The sequence below is a fragment of the Homo sapiens genome, chromosome 1 (genome assembly GCF_000001405.40).
Source record: "Homo sapiens chromosome 1, GRCh38.p14 Primary Assembly".
Taxonomy (NCBI): domain Eukaryota; kingdom Metazoa; phylum Chordata; class Mammalia; order Primates; family Hominidae; genus Homo; species Homo sapiens.
In genome coordinates, this window is record NC_000001.11 from 237732274 (window position 1) to 237746698 (window position 14425).

A 14425-nucleotide genomic window follows, 5' to 3' on the forward strand; every position below is an offset into this window, starting at 1 on the left:
AAAGATAACAACCAGCCTGGCATGTACCTAGGGACCGACACTCATTCAATTTTAGGCTTCAGCAACTACCTACTAGTTCTAGTTTTTCTTAACAACTTTGTAATTAATGATGTAGTTGATTCTGATTCTTCTTATGAAATGGTTTTTCTGTTTATCACAAACAAACTTTATAAATAAAACAAAAGAACCAAAGCAAATTCCAGTGCCGCAAGTGTATGGAGACCGATGGTGGCCCCAAATTTTCTGGGTAGATAGTGTCTCCATTGTGCAGTGGGTCTTAGGAAACCTCTAGAGGCTAAGTGAGCCATCACCTCAACTTGGAGGTATCTCTGAGATCTATTTCAAGGGCATTGCCCATTTTTCTTGTCTTCTGCAGCCTTAGTCATATGAATTCACCAAAGCCACAAAGGGCAAACCTCTCTGAAGTTACATAAGAAATGCACTGGTAGGCCTGATCGTCAAAATGTGCTCAGCATCTGTCATTACGGAGGGCAATGCATAAATTGGCTGTGCAGATGGGACATAGCAGAGGCTAGAGGACCTTTATCTGCTGCCCTGCAATGGGAAAGAAAGCCTGTTTTGCCCCCAGGCCTTTCCCATTCTCTGCAGAATTTGGGATGTAATTTAATTAAAAACTCATATCCACATGAATCTCCTCAGAAGAGTTCATTTGACCTCTTTGCCTGCCATAATAATGTACATTTCTCCCTCTTAGCTAATGTGATCTATCCTTTCTCTCACTATTTCTCTCTCTCTTATTATTTCCTAACTAACAAAATCATCTCATTCCTAAGCATAGAGCAACTCTCTCTCTGGCATTGTCAGGTAATGAGGTATTTCTCATAAGTGAATTTTTCTCATGGCTGAAGTTTAAAACTGCTGAAATAACTTTGCAAATTTTAGGTATATTTTTGGTGGAAACTTTTCTTCACGTAGTCATGGTTTCCATGCTTCTCAAAAAGAAGATAATAAACATATTTTAACCTTTCTTAATTTTTAGGGATCATTATTATGGCCATCTTGTTTTTTAATTGTCATATCATAATTTGGGGACTCTTTCCATCAAATGTCAAATTTCACTTCTGTCAAAAGCCCCCACCTCATTTAAGTTTGCTTGTTTCAAGTTTTGTAGTCTGAAGAAAATTAAAATTATTACATTTGTGTGTAAACCAAAAGACAGTTTATTTTGTGAAAATTGAAGGCCCTTCTGTAAGGTAAGATGGGACAGCTATTTAGGATCCCCGGGATCTTTGCTTTCTGATTTCAGGATATTTCTGAATATCCTAATATTGTCTTAGTTTTGTGTTCATTTAATTTTAAAAAGGTATACTTGTTAGAAAAAGAACAAAGGTTATTTTAAGCAGCGATGATACGTGTGCATGTGCCTAGCCTTCTGCTTAAACACTGATGTTTTCTTCTTGCTTTCCCCAGCAAACTGGAGGAAGATTTTTTATATATGGCCTATGCAGATATTATGGCAAAGGTAAATAAGTATCCTTCCTGATTTTCATGTTTAATTTTAATAAAGGGAAGTAACTTTCATCTGAAAAGGATAAGAATCTGTGTATTTCATTAATTTCAACTTTTTGTTTGTAGCATGAATCTCCGTTCTAAATTCCATGGCAGGTCATCATTGTTTCCTACTTAAACATTTTATTTATGAGGAGCCATAACTTTTTCTAAACATTCATTCATTCAACAAATATTTGCTGGACATCAATATATTGGAGATAACATGTGAAGAAGAAAGAAGGGCACACACTACACCTTTGTGGAGTTTTTTGTCTGATGGGGAAGATAAAGTTTAAGCAAATGGTTGTAGAAAAACCCTGATGAACTTAATGGCAGAGAAATGTATCCCTCCATTTTTACACTGCTATAAAGAATTACCTGAGACTAGGTAATCTATAAGGGAAACAAGCTTAATTAACTCACAGTTACACATGGTTGGGGAGGTCTCAGGAACTTATAATCATGGCGGAAGGCAAAGGGGAAGTAAGGTACATCTTACATGGCGGCAAGAGAGAGAGAGAATGGAGTGGGGGGCTGTCAAACACTGTTAAACCATCATATCTTGTGAGAACTCACTCACTATCGTGAGAACAGCATGAGGGAAACCGTCCCCATGATCCAATCACCTCCCACCTTGTCCCTCCCTTGACACTTGGGGATTACAATTCGATATAAGATTTTGGTGGGGATACAGAGCCAAACCATGTCAAGAAACTCTTAGGAGTATTGGGAACAGGTCCCATGGCATAGTAGTGAGGTCTGCTTAAGGAAGTCTTTGGCTGTTGAACCATGAGTTGGCCATGCAAAAATAGTACAGCTTAGTATTTACTGAGTGTTTATGTCATTTACTCCTCTTGACAAGTGGATAAATTGAGGATAAAAGTGGAGTGAAGGTTTTGCTAAGGCTTCTCACTTGGGTACCATGTACTGAGATGGCTGCACCAGAATAATTACAGGCCTGGGGTGAAGAGAGAAGAAGGCAAAGTAAATTGTGGATGCGTTAAAGATGCCTGTGAGACATCTAAGTGGAGGTGTCAAACATGCAATTAGACATTCATGTCTGACATTCAGTATCTCAGGTAAGGCTTATAAATATAGACTTGGAATTTATCAGCATTAGAAGCCGTAGGAGTAGATGATCTTACCCAGGAAGAGATGACAGCATGAGGAGAGGAGGAGGCCTAGGACCTAGCCTGTAAGGACACAGAACATTAAAAGATGGTTAGAAGGAAAGGAGCTCATAAAAAAGTTGGAGAGAACCTTAAGTGTGAGCTAACATAGGAGCTAGAAGCTATAGGACTTATTGTGTGGTCACCAAAATCATGTTCTGCTGTGAGATTGAGCAAGGTAGGGATTGAAAATCTCCAGATTTATTTCATGTATATCACATAAGCAGAGTAAGAACAGCTTCTGCGGTTTGTGGAGAGGGGCCATGGAGTGGGGACATGCTGTAGTGTGAGAAAGTAAGTAGTGATTCAGATGTGAACAGAAATAGTATAGTTGTTTCTTCATTGCAAAGATTGAGAGGGAACAGAAAGATATAAGGTAACAAATATCTAGATGGAATTGTGAGGTTGAAGGGGATTATTTTTGTTTGTTTGCCATTTGTTTGCTTGTTTTTAAAGAGAGAGCCATCTAAGCACACATATATTCTGGTGAGAAGGAGCCAACAGAATAGGAAAGGGAATCATTTGTGAAGTGAGGTCTGGAGTCCATGAGACCTGCTGGAGAAGACAGGTTACAGGACATAAGGGAAAAGCCATGGCTTTCTAATTTATTTTAAACTCTAACCTACAGCAAGAAATACATTTACCCGGTACAGTCATCTCTCAGTATTCATGGGGGATTGGTCCCAGGACCCCCAGTGGGATATCAAAATCCAAGAATGCTCAAATCCCTGACTAATGGCATAGTATTTGCATGTAACCTACACACATCCTCCTGTATACTTAGATCATCTCTAGATTACTTATAATACCTAATACAATGTAAATGCCAAGTAAATAGTTGTTCAACTCTATCATATTGTTATGGAATAATGATAAGAAAAATATCTGTACATGTTCAGTACAGACACAATCACCCATTTTACTTTCTCCAAATATTTTCTATCCACAGTTGGTTGACTCCATGGATTCAGAACCAATGGAGGGCCAACTGTATATTTATAGAAACATAAAACTGTATGTTTAAAGTAACATAAAAATATATGCCATGAAAGAAAAGTTTCACAAAATTTTACTCTTCCTATGAGCAATGTAGTCTGAACTTTTCCATTCTATTTAAACAGAGTTGTTTTTATTTTATCATGAATCACCAAATTGTTTTTATGTCTGATTGATGAGCTGAAACACATAGTTTAATAAACACTGGGTTAAAAGATAAAAGGATAGGGCTGGGCACGGTGGCTCACACCTATAATCTCAGCACTTTGGGAGGCCGAGGCGGATGGATCATTTGAGATCAGGAGTTTGAGAGCAGCCTGGCCAACATGGTGAAACCCCGTCTCTGCTAAAAATACAAAAATTAGCCAGGCACGGTGGTGCACACCTGTAATCCCAGCTCCTCAGGAGGCTGAGGCAGGAGAATTGCTTGAATCTGGGAGGCGGAAAGTTGCAGTGAGCCGTGATTGCACCACTGCACTCCAGGCTGGGCGATGGAGTGAGAGTCCGTTTCAAAAAAAAAAAAAAAAGATAAAAGGATAAAAGATACAAAGGGAAGAAGGGAAGGCTGCCAGGATAATGGGAGGTTGGAAATGTTTCCTTTTAAGGTTATTTGCTCGCTCTCTCTCTGAAGACAAAAGGACAGTCACCTGCTGACACCTAAGTGTTTGATGAAGTCTATAAAGGAAGGCTAGAGGAGAGAGAGAAGCAAAGGAAGGCTGGAGGAGAGAGAGAAGCACTGAAAGAGACATCGTGGCAATTGGCATGGCACATGGGCTAGAAATTAAAATAGGACTCACGGACTGTGAAGGAAGCCTGGTTTATTTTAGGCTGTTGTCTACGAATTTGTAGCAGTAATGCTCCCCCTGGCTGTGTGAGGACAACTAGCAATTCTCAGAACCAAATGCAAATTCTGAGAAGCCAGGAAGTTAGATTCATCAAGGGTGAAGATTTCTGCCAGACTCTTGTTGAGAACAGTAGATCAAAGCAGGTTTGTATGTTGCTAGGAGGTGGCTTGTAAGGAAATGAAGAAAGAGGGAGGTGAGAAAGAGATTGTAGAGCAGCCCCCAGCCTGGGTGTTCTCTGCAGCTGAAGAATCGAAGTGGGCTGAACAGGTAGAAGCTCCTGGTTTGAGAATAGGTAGAAGCTCTTGATTTAAGAATAGGTTGTTTCTGATTGTTAGAGTTCTTCCTTGTGAGTGAAACTGAATTTGCCTCCATATTGATTTTGTTGGATCCTAAAGCTAAATCTAGTTTCTTTTGATAGATGGTCAAATATTTGAGGAGGGCTACCTTGTTGATGCTTTATCTCAAATTTTCCCCTTCATAATTAAATAATCATATTCATTTTATTGTTTAATGTAACTCAGGGATGTCCAGCTTGCACCACGCAGTTTGTTACACTCGGCACATTCTCCAGTATATTCATATGTGCCACCCAGAAGTTAATCAAACACGGTATTCCAGTTACGACCTCACCTGCGTAGTGTGTATGGGAACTGTACCCTCACTTGCACTGCCTTAGGATCTTATACATTTGCCATCAATGGCAAGAATGCATTAAATTTTCAGCCAGGTCATGTCAGCTATCCTGTATTATACTGTTGACTTTTAATTTTTTAATTAAGTATATGTCATCATTTCTATAATTCAAGTCAGACCATTGCCCCAGGCTGAAATCTTTCTAACATTTGATTCTGTCATACACTGTTATCTCTTTCCATTTGTGTTAACCACAAACTTAAGTGTGATTGATTTCTCTGTTTATCTCAGTTGGTAGTGTGCAGCTGAAATTTTTATACCCTTTCCCAGACTGGTTAACCTACTTTGTTTTCAATCCATCTAAACATACTTTTATAAAACTCATATTTCTCATCTCCTTTCATGAGATTCTTAAAGAAATCAAGATGTTACTGTGATTGCTTAAACTCGAATTCTAACTTTGGTAAAACTGCCAAAGATGGATGAGTATTCCTCAGTGATTTGCTTGATAACCCATTTTAGACTATTGTTGATTATTAATATCGAACTTCCTAGCGGGTAGTTTTTGGAAGCTGTCTTTCCTCATTTTAAAAATTAGCATCCCAGTTGTCTGGAACTTTCACTTGGCCTTCATGGTTTCTCGGTTTACCAACAGTCATTCTGCATCCACGGATGTTACTTTTGCTTTGAGTCTTGATACTTGAGACTTGAACTCACTTTAAGAGACTGTTGTATGTGTCTTCCTCCACCACTGCAGGTCCCTTGGAAGGCATCATTTATATCTTACTTAGGTTTTTGTTTTTCAGTTTTAATTGTTTTTTAAACTTAGGAACACAGAGTTGGGTTAATGATAACTCTGAATTCATGATACACAGTCACTGTTAGTCCACTAGTGTCTACTTTTAAAGTTACTTAGTCATTTCTAATAATGTAGTAACTACCCATAAACCCACTTCTGACAAGAAACAACCTAGAGAATTTACGTGTTATCCTATGGGCTTCTCATTAACCTATACCCTGTCTCCCCACACAAAGAAACCATCATTCTAAACCTTGTGCTCAAGATGCCCTTGCTTTTCTTTTCATGTAGTTTTCATTTATTTATATATAGATAGATAAATTTTCATATATATATAATTTAAGTTGTTACTGACTTTTAAAAGGGCAGTAGGCTGTGTGTAATATTTTGGGCTCTACTTATTGAATTAATAGTGTTTTCTAAGATTCCTCCATACTTTTTTGTGCTGTTGGAGTTCATTTTTTTTTATTGTTGTGTTATTTCCCTTTGGGCAGATATACCAGAGCTTATCCATTTACCTTTTTCGTTGATAGACTTTTGTATCACCTCTGTGTTTTTGCTAATGTGAACAGGGATTGAATGCCTATTCTTATCCATTTCACCTATCTTACAAGAGCTACAGGGTGTACCCATTTTCAAATAAAGGAACAAATGTCATACTGTTTTCCAAAGTTACTGCATCAATGGACATTCTTAACAACAATGGTTAAGAGAGATTCTGGTGATCCACACCCCCTCCAATATTTGATATATGAGTTACTGACTTTTGTCAACCAAATGGGTATGAAATGGTATTTTGCTGGAGTCATGATTTTCATTTCTCTTGGCTAGGTACTTTTCTGTATTACAAACATCACTTCTTTCTGAAACAAAAGAGCTGATGAGTGGTTCTGCACGTCCTCTCTATTATGATGAGTACAGCATCTGCTCTAAATCATGTGCTTACTGCTCCTTGTTGACCATACTTTGGTGATAATTTGAAAAATCATTTTACATCTTTGTATCTTTCAAGCCACACTTCATTCTAAACTCTATTCCCCTACTCCTATCATATATACTTCCTCTTTAAAAAATCCTATGGAGAACTTCAGTGCATCCCATCGGTTTGCTGTTGCCACCCCTTTTTGTCTGCATCATGCCTACCCTGCTCGATTCCTTAGAATGTCTCTTTACCAGCTGTCATCCCTCTTGGACTATTTGAAGCTGCTTCACCCCAACGGTGGTTTTACCAATTTGAATAAGGTAACAGTATGGAGGAAGATATCTGCAATGATATCACAAATTAAACACTCAACAATGTTGCTGCTGTTTTGAGTTTCCAGCTAAGGGAACTCTTTCCTCCTAGTTCTCCTCCTTCTCTTATTAACTTTTTAAAATATTTAAGATACACATCGTTATGCCTAGTGTTCCATTCTTTCTTGGTTAAAAGTATAAAATGCTGCGGTCACATTCTTATGAGTTTCTCTCTTCTGTCTCACCCATGAGCTCTCTGTTAGTCAGATTTAAATCCACAATGAAAGTTTCTGGGTTTTGATTCCTTAGTCTTCTGCGGAGTTATCAAATCAGAAAGGCAACTAAGGAATGCATGAAATATACTTCTGTGGCAGAATGAAATTTTCAGCAGATACTGGCAAGCTGAAGAGCCCTCATTACTGTGTTATGTATTCGTGCTGCCAGTTTTGAATTCTGTTGTGGATACCTGAATGATCTGACATATCCTCCATTTTATTTATTTTCTTCGAAATTATTTATTCCACACCTGCCCCTTTATGTATTTAGCTTATTCACCTTTTCCTTCCTGGCAAAAGAAGGACTCTTCCTTGTCTAGAATTTAGCATTCTGATCCAGAAAGCCAAATCCTGCTACAGGACTGTCTAATATAACTTCCCATTTGCTTAGCATTATCATCTATGTCACGTGGATGCCATTTGCTATTGAAGAACATATCTTTTGTTCCAGTAAATCCTTCTGTTTCTCTACAGTATATTCAAAAGCTGCTAGAAATCTGATACCTTTTTTGTTTGTGTGATCTTAGCATATTCTCAAGCTAATTAGTAGAAGTTTAAAGTAGTTTTTATAGGTTTGGTGAATTTGTCAGATACAGTCTGTACACCAAGTAAATTCAGGTTTAATAGTTTTTAAAAATCACAAATTTTAACTTCATTAGGAGCAAATCTCATTAAATTTTCCTAGGAAGATTTTTTTAAAACAGTTAAAATATTTTATTTCAAAATACTTTTTTATTAAAAATTTTTTTCAGCTAGTGCTTTAAATGGATTATCCCTTTGTACAAAAGCAAACATGGCTTATGAATTTTATGGCTTAAAAACATATCATTATAATCCCAAATAACAATTTGTCTGAATGTATTCTTTATCTCAATCCTTGTGTCTCTCCTATGTTTCTGAAGGTCATGAAATTTTTATAGAAGACTATGTCTTTGAGAAAATGTAAAATTTCATATCCTTGAGACATTGTATATTAGTGTTCTAATTTGCATAGAGAGTAAGCATGCTTGTTATCTGATAAAATTCCTATTCTTTTTACTCCTATTTACTAATGCACACTGCTAATTATTGGGAATAATGGGAGATATTAGAATAGGTAGTCTTAAGGAGCAGCTAAGCAAAATTCCTCTGTTTTCGACATTAGATGTACAGTATGTATTGATGGAGGACTGCAGATTTGCCTTCCAAATCTGTTTTGCTAAAGTTCTCATGAGTTCTTATTTTTTAAATCCTGGCTGACTAATAACATGGGAGACAGAGCAGCAGAAACTCAAAGGAGAACATTTCCTGCTTTCTGAGGGAATCATTAACATCTTTGCTTTTGTGATGAAATGTGCAGTTTAACATATTACCCAGACAATGAAACTGTCCTAGGCCTGCGTCCCCACCTTTATTTCCTCCTTTGCAAACTATGCTCATGTGCCTATCATTATAAACAGAAAGCGTGGTGCTATCATGATAAACAGAAAGGGTAGTATATATTTGTTGAATGAATGAAAGAATATGACAAACCTTTTAGAATTTATCACGGAGTGAGTGGAAGGGTCACATTGTTTACCTTCCCTCCCATCCCCAGTTCATCTCCATGCCCAGAGTACTGTGTCTCACCGAATTAAAAATATGTTTATGATTTGTAGCTTATATTTCATTATCTGCCTTCATACACCCCATGGAAACATTGAATGCTTACCAAGCAGCAGAAATACGTGTAAGGGTTGGAACAATCTAACTTTGATGAGCTGTAGGGTTCTTCCTACTATAGCTATTGGTTAATGACCAATTTCTTTTGGTCACTATTATACTACAGACCATAATAATAATAGCAGCTGAGATGTATTAAAAGCATGTATTTTTCAGACTCTTTTTTCTTTATTTTATTTTTTTGAGATGGAGGCTCATTCTGTCACCCAGGCTGGAATGCAATGGCACAATCTTGGCTCACTGCAGCCTCCGCCTCCTGGGTTCAAGCAATTCTCCTGCCTCAGCCTCCCGAGTAGCTGGCATTACAGGTGCCCGCCACCATGCCCAGCTAATATTTGTATTTTTAGTAGAGACAGGGTTTCACCATGTTGTTCAGGCTGGTCTGGAACTCCTGACCTCAGGTGATCTGCCCGCTACTGCCTCCCAAAGTGCTGGGATTACAGGGGTGAGCCACCTCGCCCGGTCTAATTTTAACTAATGGTCATTATATTTGCCTGTATTCGTGCATTGCAATGGCAGCATAAAAAAAAGAGAAAATCCTTTTAAGGTTTGCAGTTTGGTTTGAATGAGGCAAATGTATGAATAAGTAGCGGGTATAGTATGATGTGGACCTCATAGTTATCTCTGTTACCTATAAAATATGTAATTTAATATTTTATTTTTGTAAAAGCACTATATATAATTTTCATGTCATGAATTCATTGATTATGTCATCTAAGCATTCTATCTTACATGTGTTTAAACAAGGTTGATGATAAATTAATACAAATGATTTGCTCTTCTATGTCTAATGTTCTTTTGCACTTTCTAAAATCTCAACATATTCCTGTCTCCTTTTTTTTTTTTTTTAAATATACAGAGTTGTCATGATGAGGAAGATGACGATGGTGAAGAGGAAGTGAAGAGTTTTGAAGTAAGATGGATCTTTCTGGATTTGCCTTTCTTTCTATCTTGAAACATTGTTTCATAGCTTATAACTGACATTTATGTTTCTTGCTTCATGGCTTATTGCAGCTTATTGTGTCAAGGAACTGCATGTCAGAGCTGGATGGACAAACCTGAGTCCTAACATTTGCTGAAGTTAAGACCAAGGATCATAGAATAGTTAAATAATATAATGAAGCACATATGTTCAGAATGAGTGTTCCTGAGAACCCTCAGAGATGAGACGGCTTCAAATTGGTCTCATCTCAGCGATGTGGTCTGGAATTTCCAACAGACGTGAGGAAAATATTTATTGAAGAACAACATGATGTCAAGTTTTTCAGTAAACCCTTGGTTTGATATTTTTTCCTGAATAGAAGTCTTAAAGATTTGGCCTTAAAGACTTCTGCCCAATTAGATCACTCATTCCATGTACATATGCAGATAGTGGCACACAACGCAGTTTGCTTGCATGAGGTAGGAGTCCATATATCCCTAGGACTGTATTGTAGTTTACAACTATTTTCTCAAATGCTCTCAGCTTTTAAATGTCCTACGTAATTTGAAATGCTGCTTAATGTTACTTAGCCCAAAGGAAAGTTAATAGTATTTTCCCCCTTTGCTTATACTGTACTTTCGTTTTTTATGAGGAAAAGCTAGTTGTTGCTAACTACCGCTTTTTTTGTTTATTGGCTCTTTTTTTGTTTTGTTTTGTTTTTTTAGAATTTTCATAAAGAAATTAAGTGCAGGGAAATAGAAATTAGATTCTTTTTCTTTTCCTTTTAATTTACATGTCTGGACTTTGAGCTAGAAGTCTGGAAATATATCAGTAGCCAGCAATGAGTCTTTAATTAAAGTGGACCCACAAAAACGTATTAGCCAATGAATAAGCTCAGAGCAGTGACCTTCCAGGATGCATTTGTTATGAACCTCTCTGCAGCATTGAAGTCAATGTGTCAAAAATATAAAAACAATCTAATTTGAGGAACCCATGACTATTGCTGGCTGAGAAAAATGCCATAAGATTAATTTCTGTATGATTTCTATAATCTTTTCTAATGTATATGTTTTCTATTCTCAAAGTCATCTTTATTGATAAGAAAGTGAGGTCAGTTTAGAATGAGCTGTGAGCAGCAGATAATATTGTTTTTCTGAAGTGCACAGCATTTATAGTCTATCCGTTGTCTTCAGAGCAATTGTTTATTGCTATTTTGCTTCTTGTCCTCATCCTTCCTTAAGGTCACAGGATCCCAACGCAGCAAGGTAAAACTATATATATGTGTGTATTTGTCTGGGTCTGAGTTTCGGTTTCTTGTGACATTTACCTTTGTTAGACCCAACATCTTGGATTCTTTTGTGAAAAGGAGGTCTTGAAAATCTTTCTACAAGTTTGTAGCTCCAATGCATTTGGTCTCTTCAGGATCCCTTCCTTTGACACAAGTTTATTCTTCTTGCAATTTAAATGACTCATAATTTGAAATTTTATCCTCCAGCTAACTTTGAGCTGCATACTGTGCTGGGATAAAGGAGTCCAGCCCTTTGGATGACAAACTTTTTAAGCCAGGGACTTCTCATTTTCGGTGCAATGTTCTGACCTTATCCCTCTTGATGTTTTTCAACACCAGTTTTATTACTTGAAAACAGACATGATAAATGGTATTGCTGGTGAGATTGGAAAGAAGCCTGCTTTTCCATTGTGCTAGTAATCACTTCAATTAGTAACTGGAGATTATATTCCATGATTTCAATATTGATTTCATTGTTGCATTAAAGGGAAGAACTAGATGACTATTTCTCTCTTAATATTTTGAATACTGGGAACATTTGCTAAAAGAAAACATTTTGATATAGAATTACAAAATTACTTACATTAATATGAACCTTGTTAAGCTTATGTTTTATTTTCATAAGGCTATATGGTAGGAAAATCAATCATAAACATTCTGTGAAGATGATACCTATAAAGACTTTAGTTTTGTTTGTTTGTTTAAAAAAAAAAAAAGCTTTTTAGGTGGCCAGGTGCAGAGGCTTACGCTTGTAATCCCAGCACTTTGGGAGGCTGAGGCGGGTGGATCACTTGAGATCAGGAGTTTGAGACCAGCCTGGCCAATGTGGTGAAACCTCATCTCTACTAAAAATACAAAAATTAGCCGGGCGTGGTAGTGCACGCCTGTAATCCCAGCTACTGGGGAGGCCGAGGCAGGAGAATCACTTGAACCTGGGAGAAGGAGGTTGCAGTGAGCCGAGATTGCTCCATTGCACTCCAGCCTGGGCGACAAGAGTGAAACTCCGTCTCAACAACAACAAAAAAGCTTTTTAGTTTGTAAGTGTAAACTATTCTACTTTGCCTTCTTTTTTTAAAAAAAAAAAAAGTGAAATATTTGCTGCCAAAATGAATTTTAGACTGTCTTGAAGAAACTATTTTAAAATTCCTTTGTAATTTTTTTTTTTTTTTTTTGAGACAGAGTCTCACTGTGTCAGGCTGGAGTGCAGTGGCAGGATCTCAGCTCACTGCAATCTCCACCTCCTGGGTTCAAACAGTTCCCCTGCCTCAGCCTCCCGAGTAGCTAGGACTACAGTGGCGCGCCACCACGCCCGGCTAAGCTAATTTTTTGTATTTTTAGTAGAGACGGGGTTTCACCATGTTGGCCACAATGGTCTTTATCTCCTGACCTCATGATCCACCCATCTGGGCCTCCCAAAGTGCTGGGATTACAGTCCTGAGCCACCACGCCCAGCCACTTTTTAATTTTTTTAACTCACTGTTATAGTTGGAGGAATATATAGTTCTTGTATCATCATCCTTGCAAATTTCAAAATGTAAATCATGTATATACTATCAGATGCAGCTCTGATCCGATGGATATAATGGTTAATGGCATACAATGGGCCTAACACTTAATAATATATTATGGGCTTAAATAATAGATAATAATGGGTATAATAAGAATTTGGTAGATTTTGATTTTTTATCACGAATTATTTCATATAAAATTTATGTGAATTGTTGAGGGATGAAAATATGAAGGGCTCTCCTAACATTAAGTAAAGAACTGATTTCCTAAGTAGCATAAAAGTTAATGCCTCAAGAATGTGTTGATAGTTGTATGATGGGGCTGGATGGCAGAGAAGGTGTTGCTAGCCAAGAAAACCATTTTACCTTGAAAGAGGAATGCAGTTTCAGGGAGATCGGTTTGATAAATAGGGTCAAATTTAGTGACATTAGAAAGGCTCCTCATTCAGAAAAGAAGTCCGAAAGACGACAAGTGATGGCATCTTAATATTTAGACACTAGGATTCAGGCCAGACTAAGGACAAGAAGTCAAATGACATATGGAGCATGACCTGAGAGAAAGGGCTACCTTTGAACTTAGAATAGTGGACAAGTTCACATGGTGGTGAAACCTGGCAATTAATCCCAAAACAGAGGATACAGACCAGCAGATATGACTGTCTCAGCAAGAGACAGGCTTTTAAAGTGCTGGGAATTGCCACACATTTATAGGTGTAATGCAGGACACCAGATTTGGGGATTTGCGCTTCCTAATGAGATTTTTTTTTTTTTAGTGATCTCCATCTGATTTGGGACTATAATTTATAATTCACACCTAATTTATGTAACATGCTACTCTTAACAAAATACTGTGTATGTGGTATGAAATATTACAAAGCTGAGAAACAGAGATATATATAATTAATTCCCTATAAAGATACTCTTCTCTGAGGTTGACTATGTGACACCAACAAAACCACTGAAAAATTTATTGTTTATAAATGTAGTAATCTACCATACTTTTACATTGAGATGTCTATCTGACATAATTTAGACATAGTCTAATAGTGGAGTTATTCACATAAGTTACAAATATGAAAGGCTACTTGTCAGTTTCAATAATTCTTATAACACATTATATCAAATAAATTTGGAAATAACATAAAGTGTGTGGTAATTGAATTCTATCCCTATACCTGGTTAATTATTAATATTTGCTATAGTTTCTATTTAAATTCTTTCCCTGTAAAATATTCCATAAAGTCATTGAGAAGAGAAACGAAGTAGGTAAAAAGAAAAGTGCTATTATAGGGAAATTTTCCATGAAGAATGCAGTAAAGCTCAAAAAACATGGAAAACAAGGAAAGAGGAATGATTTGCCAGCTCTTTTCTTCTTCCATCATATATATATATGTATTGTTCATATGATCCTGTTAAATTAAAACGTGCCTGATTTAACCTGATTACAAAATTCCCTGTTTCATCTGTAATATAGGTAAATATGCTTTCCTGTAACTACTTATTAAATAACTTTATTGCATATTTAGTTAATTATTTTTTAGGTT

At 36.9% G+C, this 14425-nt stretch overlaps 1 protein-coding gene across 16 annotated transcripts in view; it reads left to right on the plus strand.

The window, feature by feature from the left end:
- The window catches only part of RYR2 (ryanodine receptor 2), a 791805-nt gene that overhangs the window by 690090 nt on the left and 87290 nt on the right, over positions 1 to 14425 (plus strand). For 10 of the 16 annotated variants that reach the window (XM_006711802.4, XM_006711806.4, XM_006711808.4 and 7 more), the window contains 3 exons: positions 1432 to 1483; positions 10023 to 10076; positions 11327 to 11350. In XM_006711802.4, coding sequence (XP_006711865.1) covers positions 1432 to 1483; positions 10023 to 10076; positions 11327 to 11350 — 130 coding nt within the window. The remainder of the gene's footprint in view (positions 1 to 1431; positions 1484 to 10022; positions 10077 to 11326; positions 11351 to 14425) is intronic. The other 6 variants (XM_006711804.4, XM_006711807.4, XM_047427336.1 and 3 more) reach the window with 1 other exon arrangement.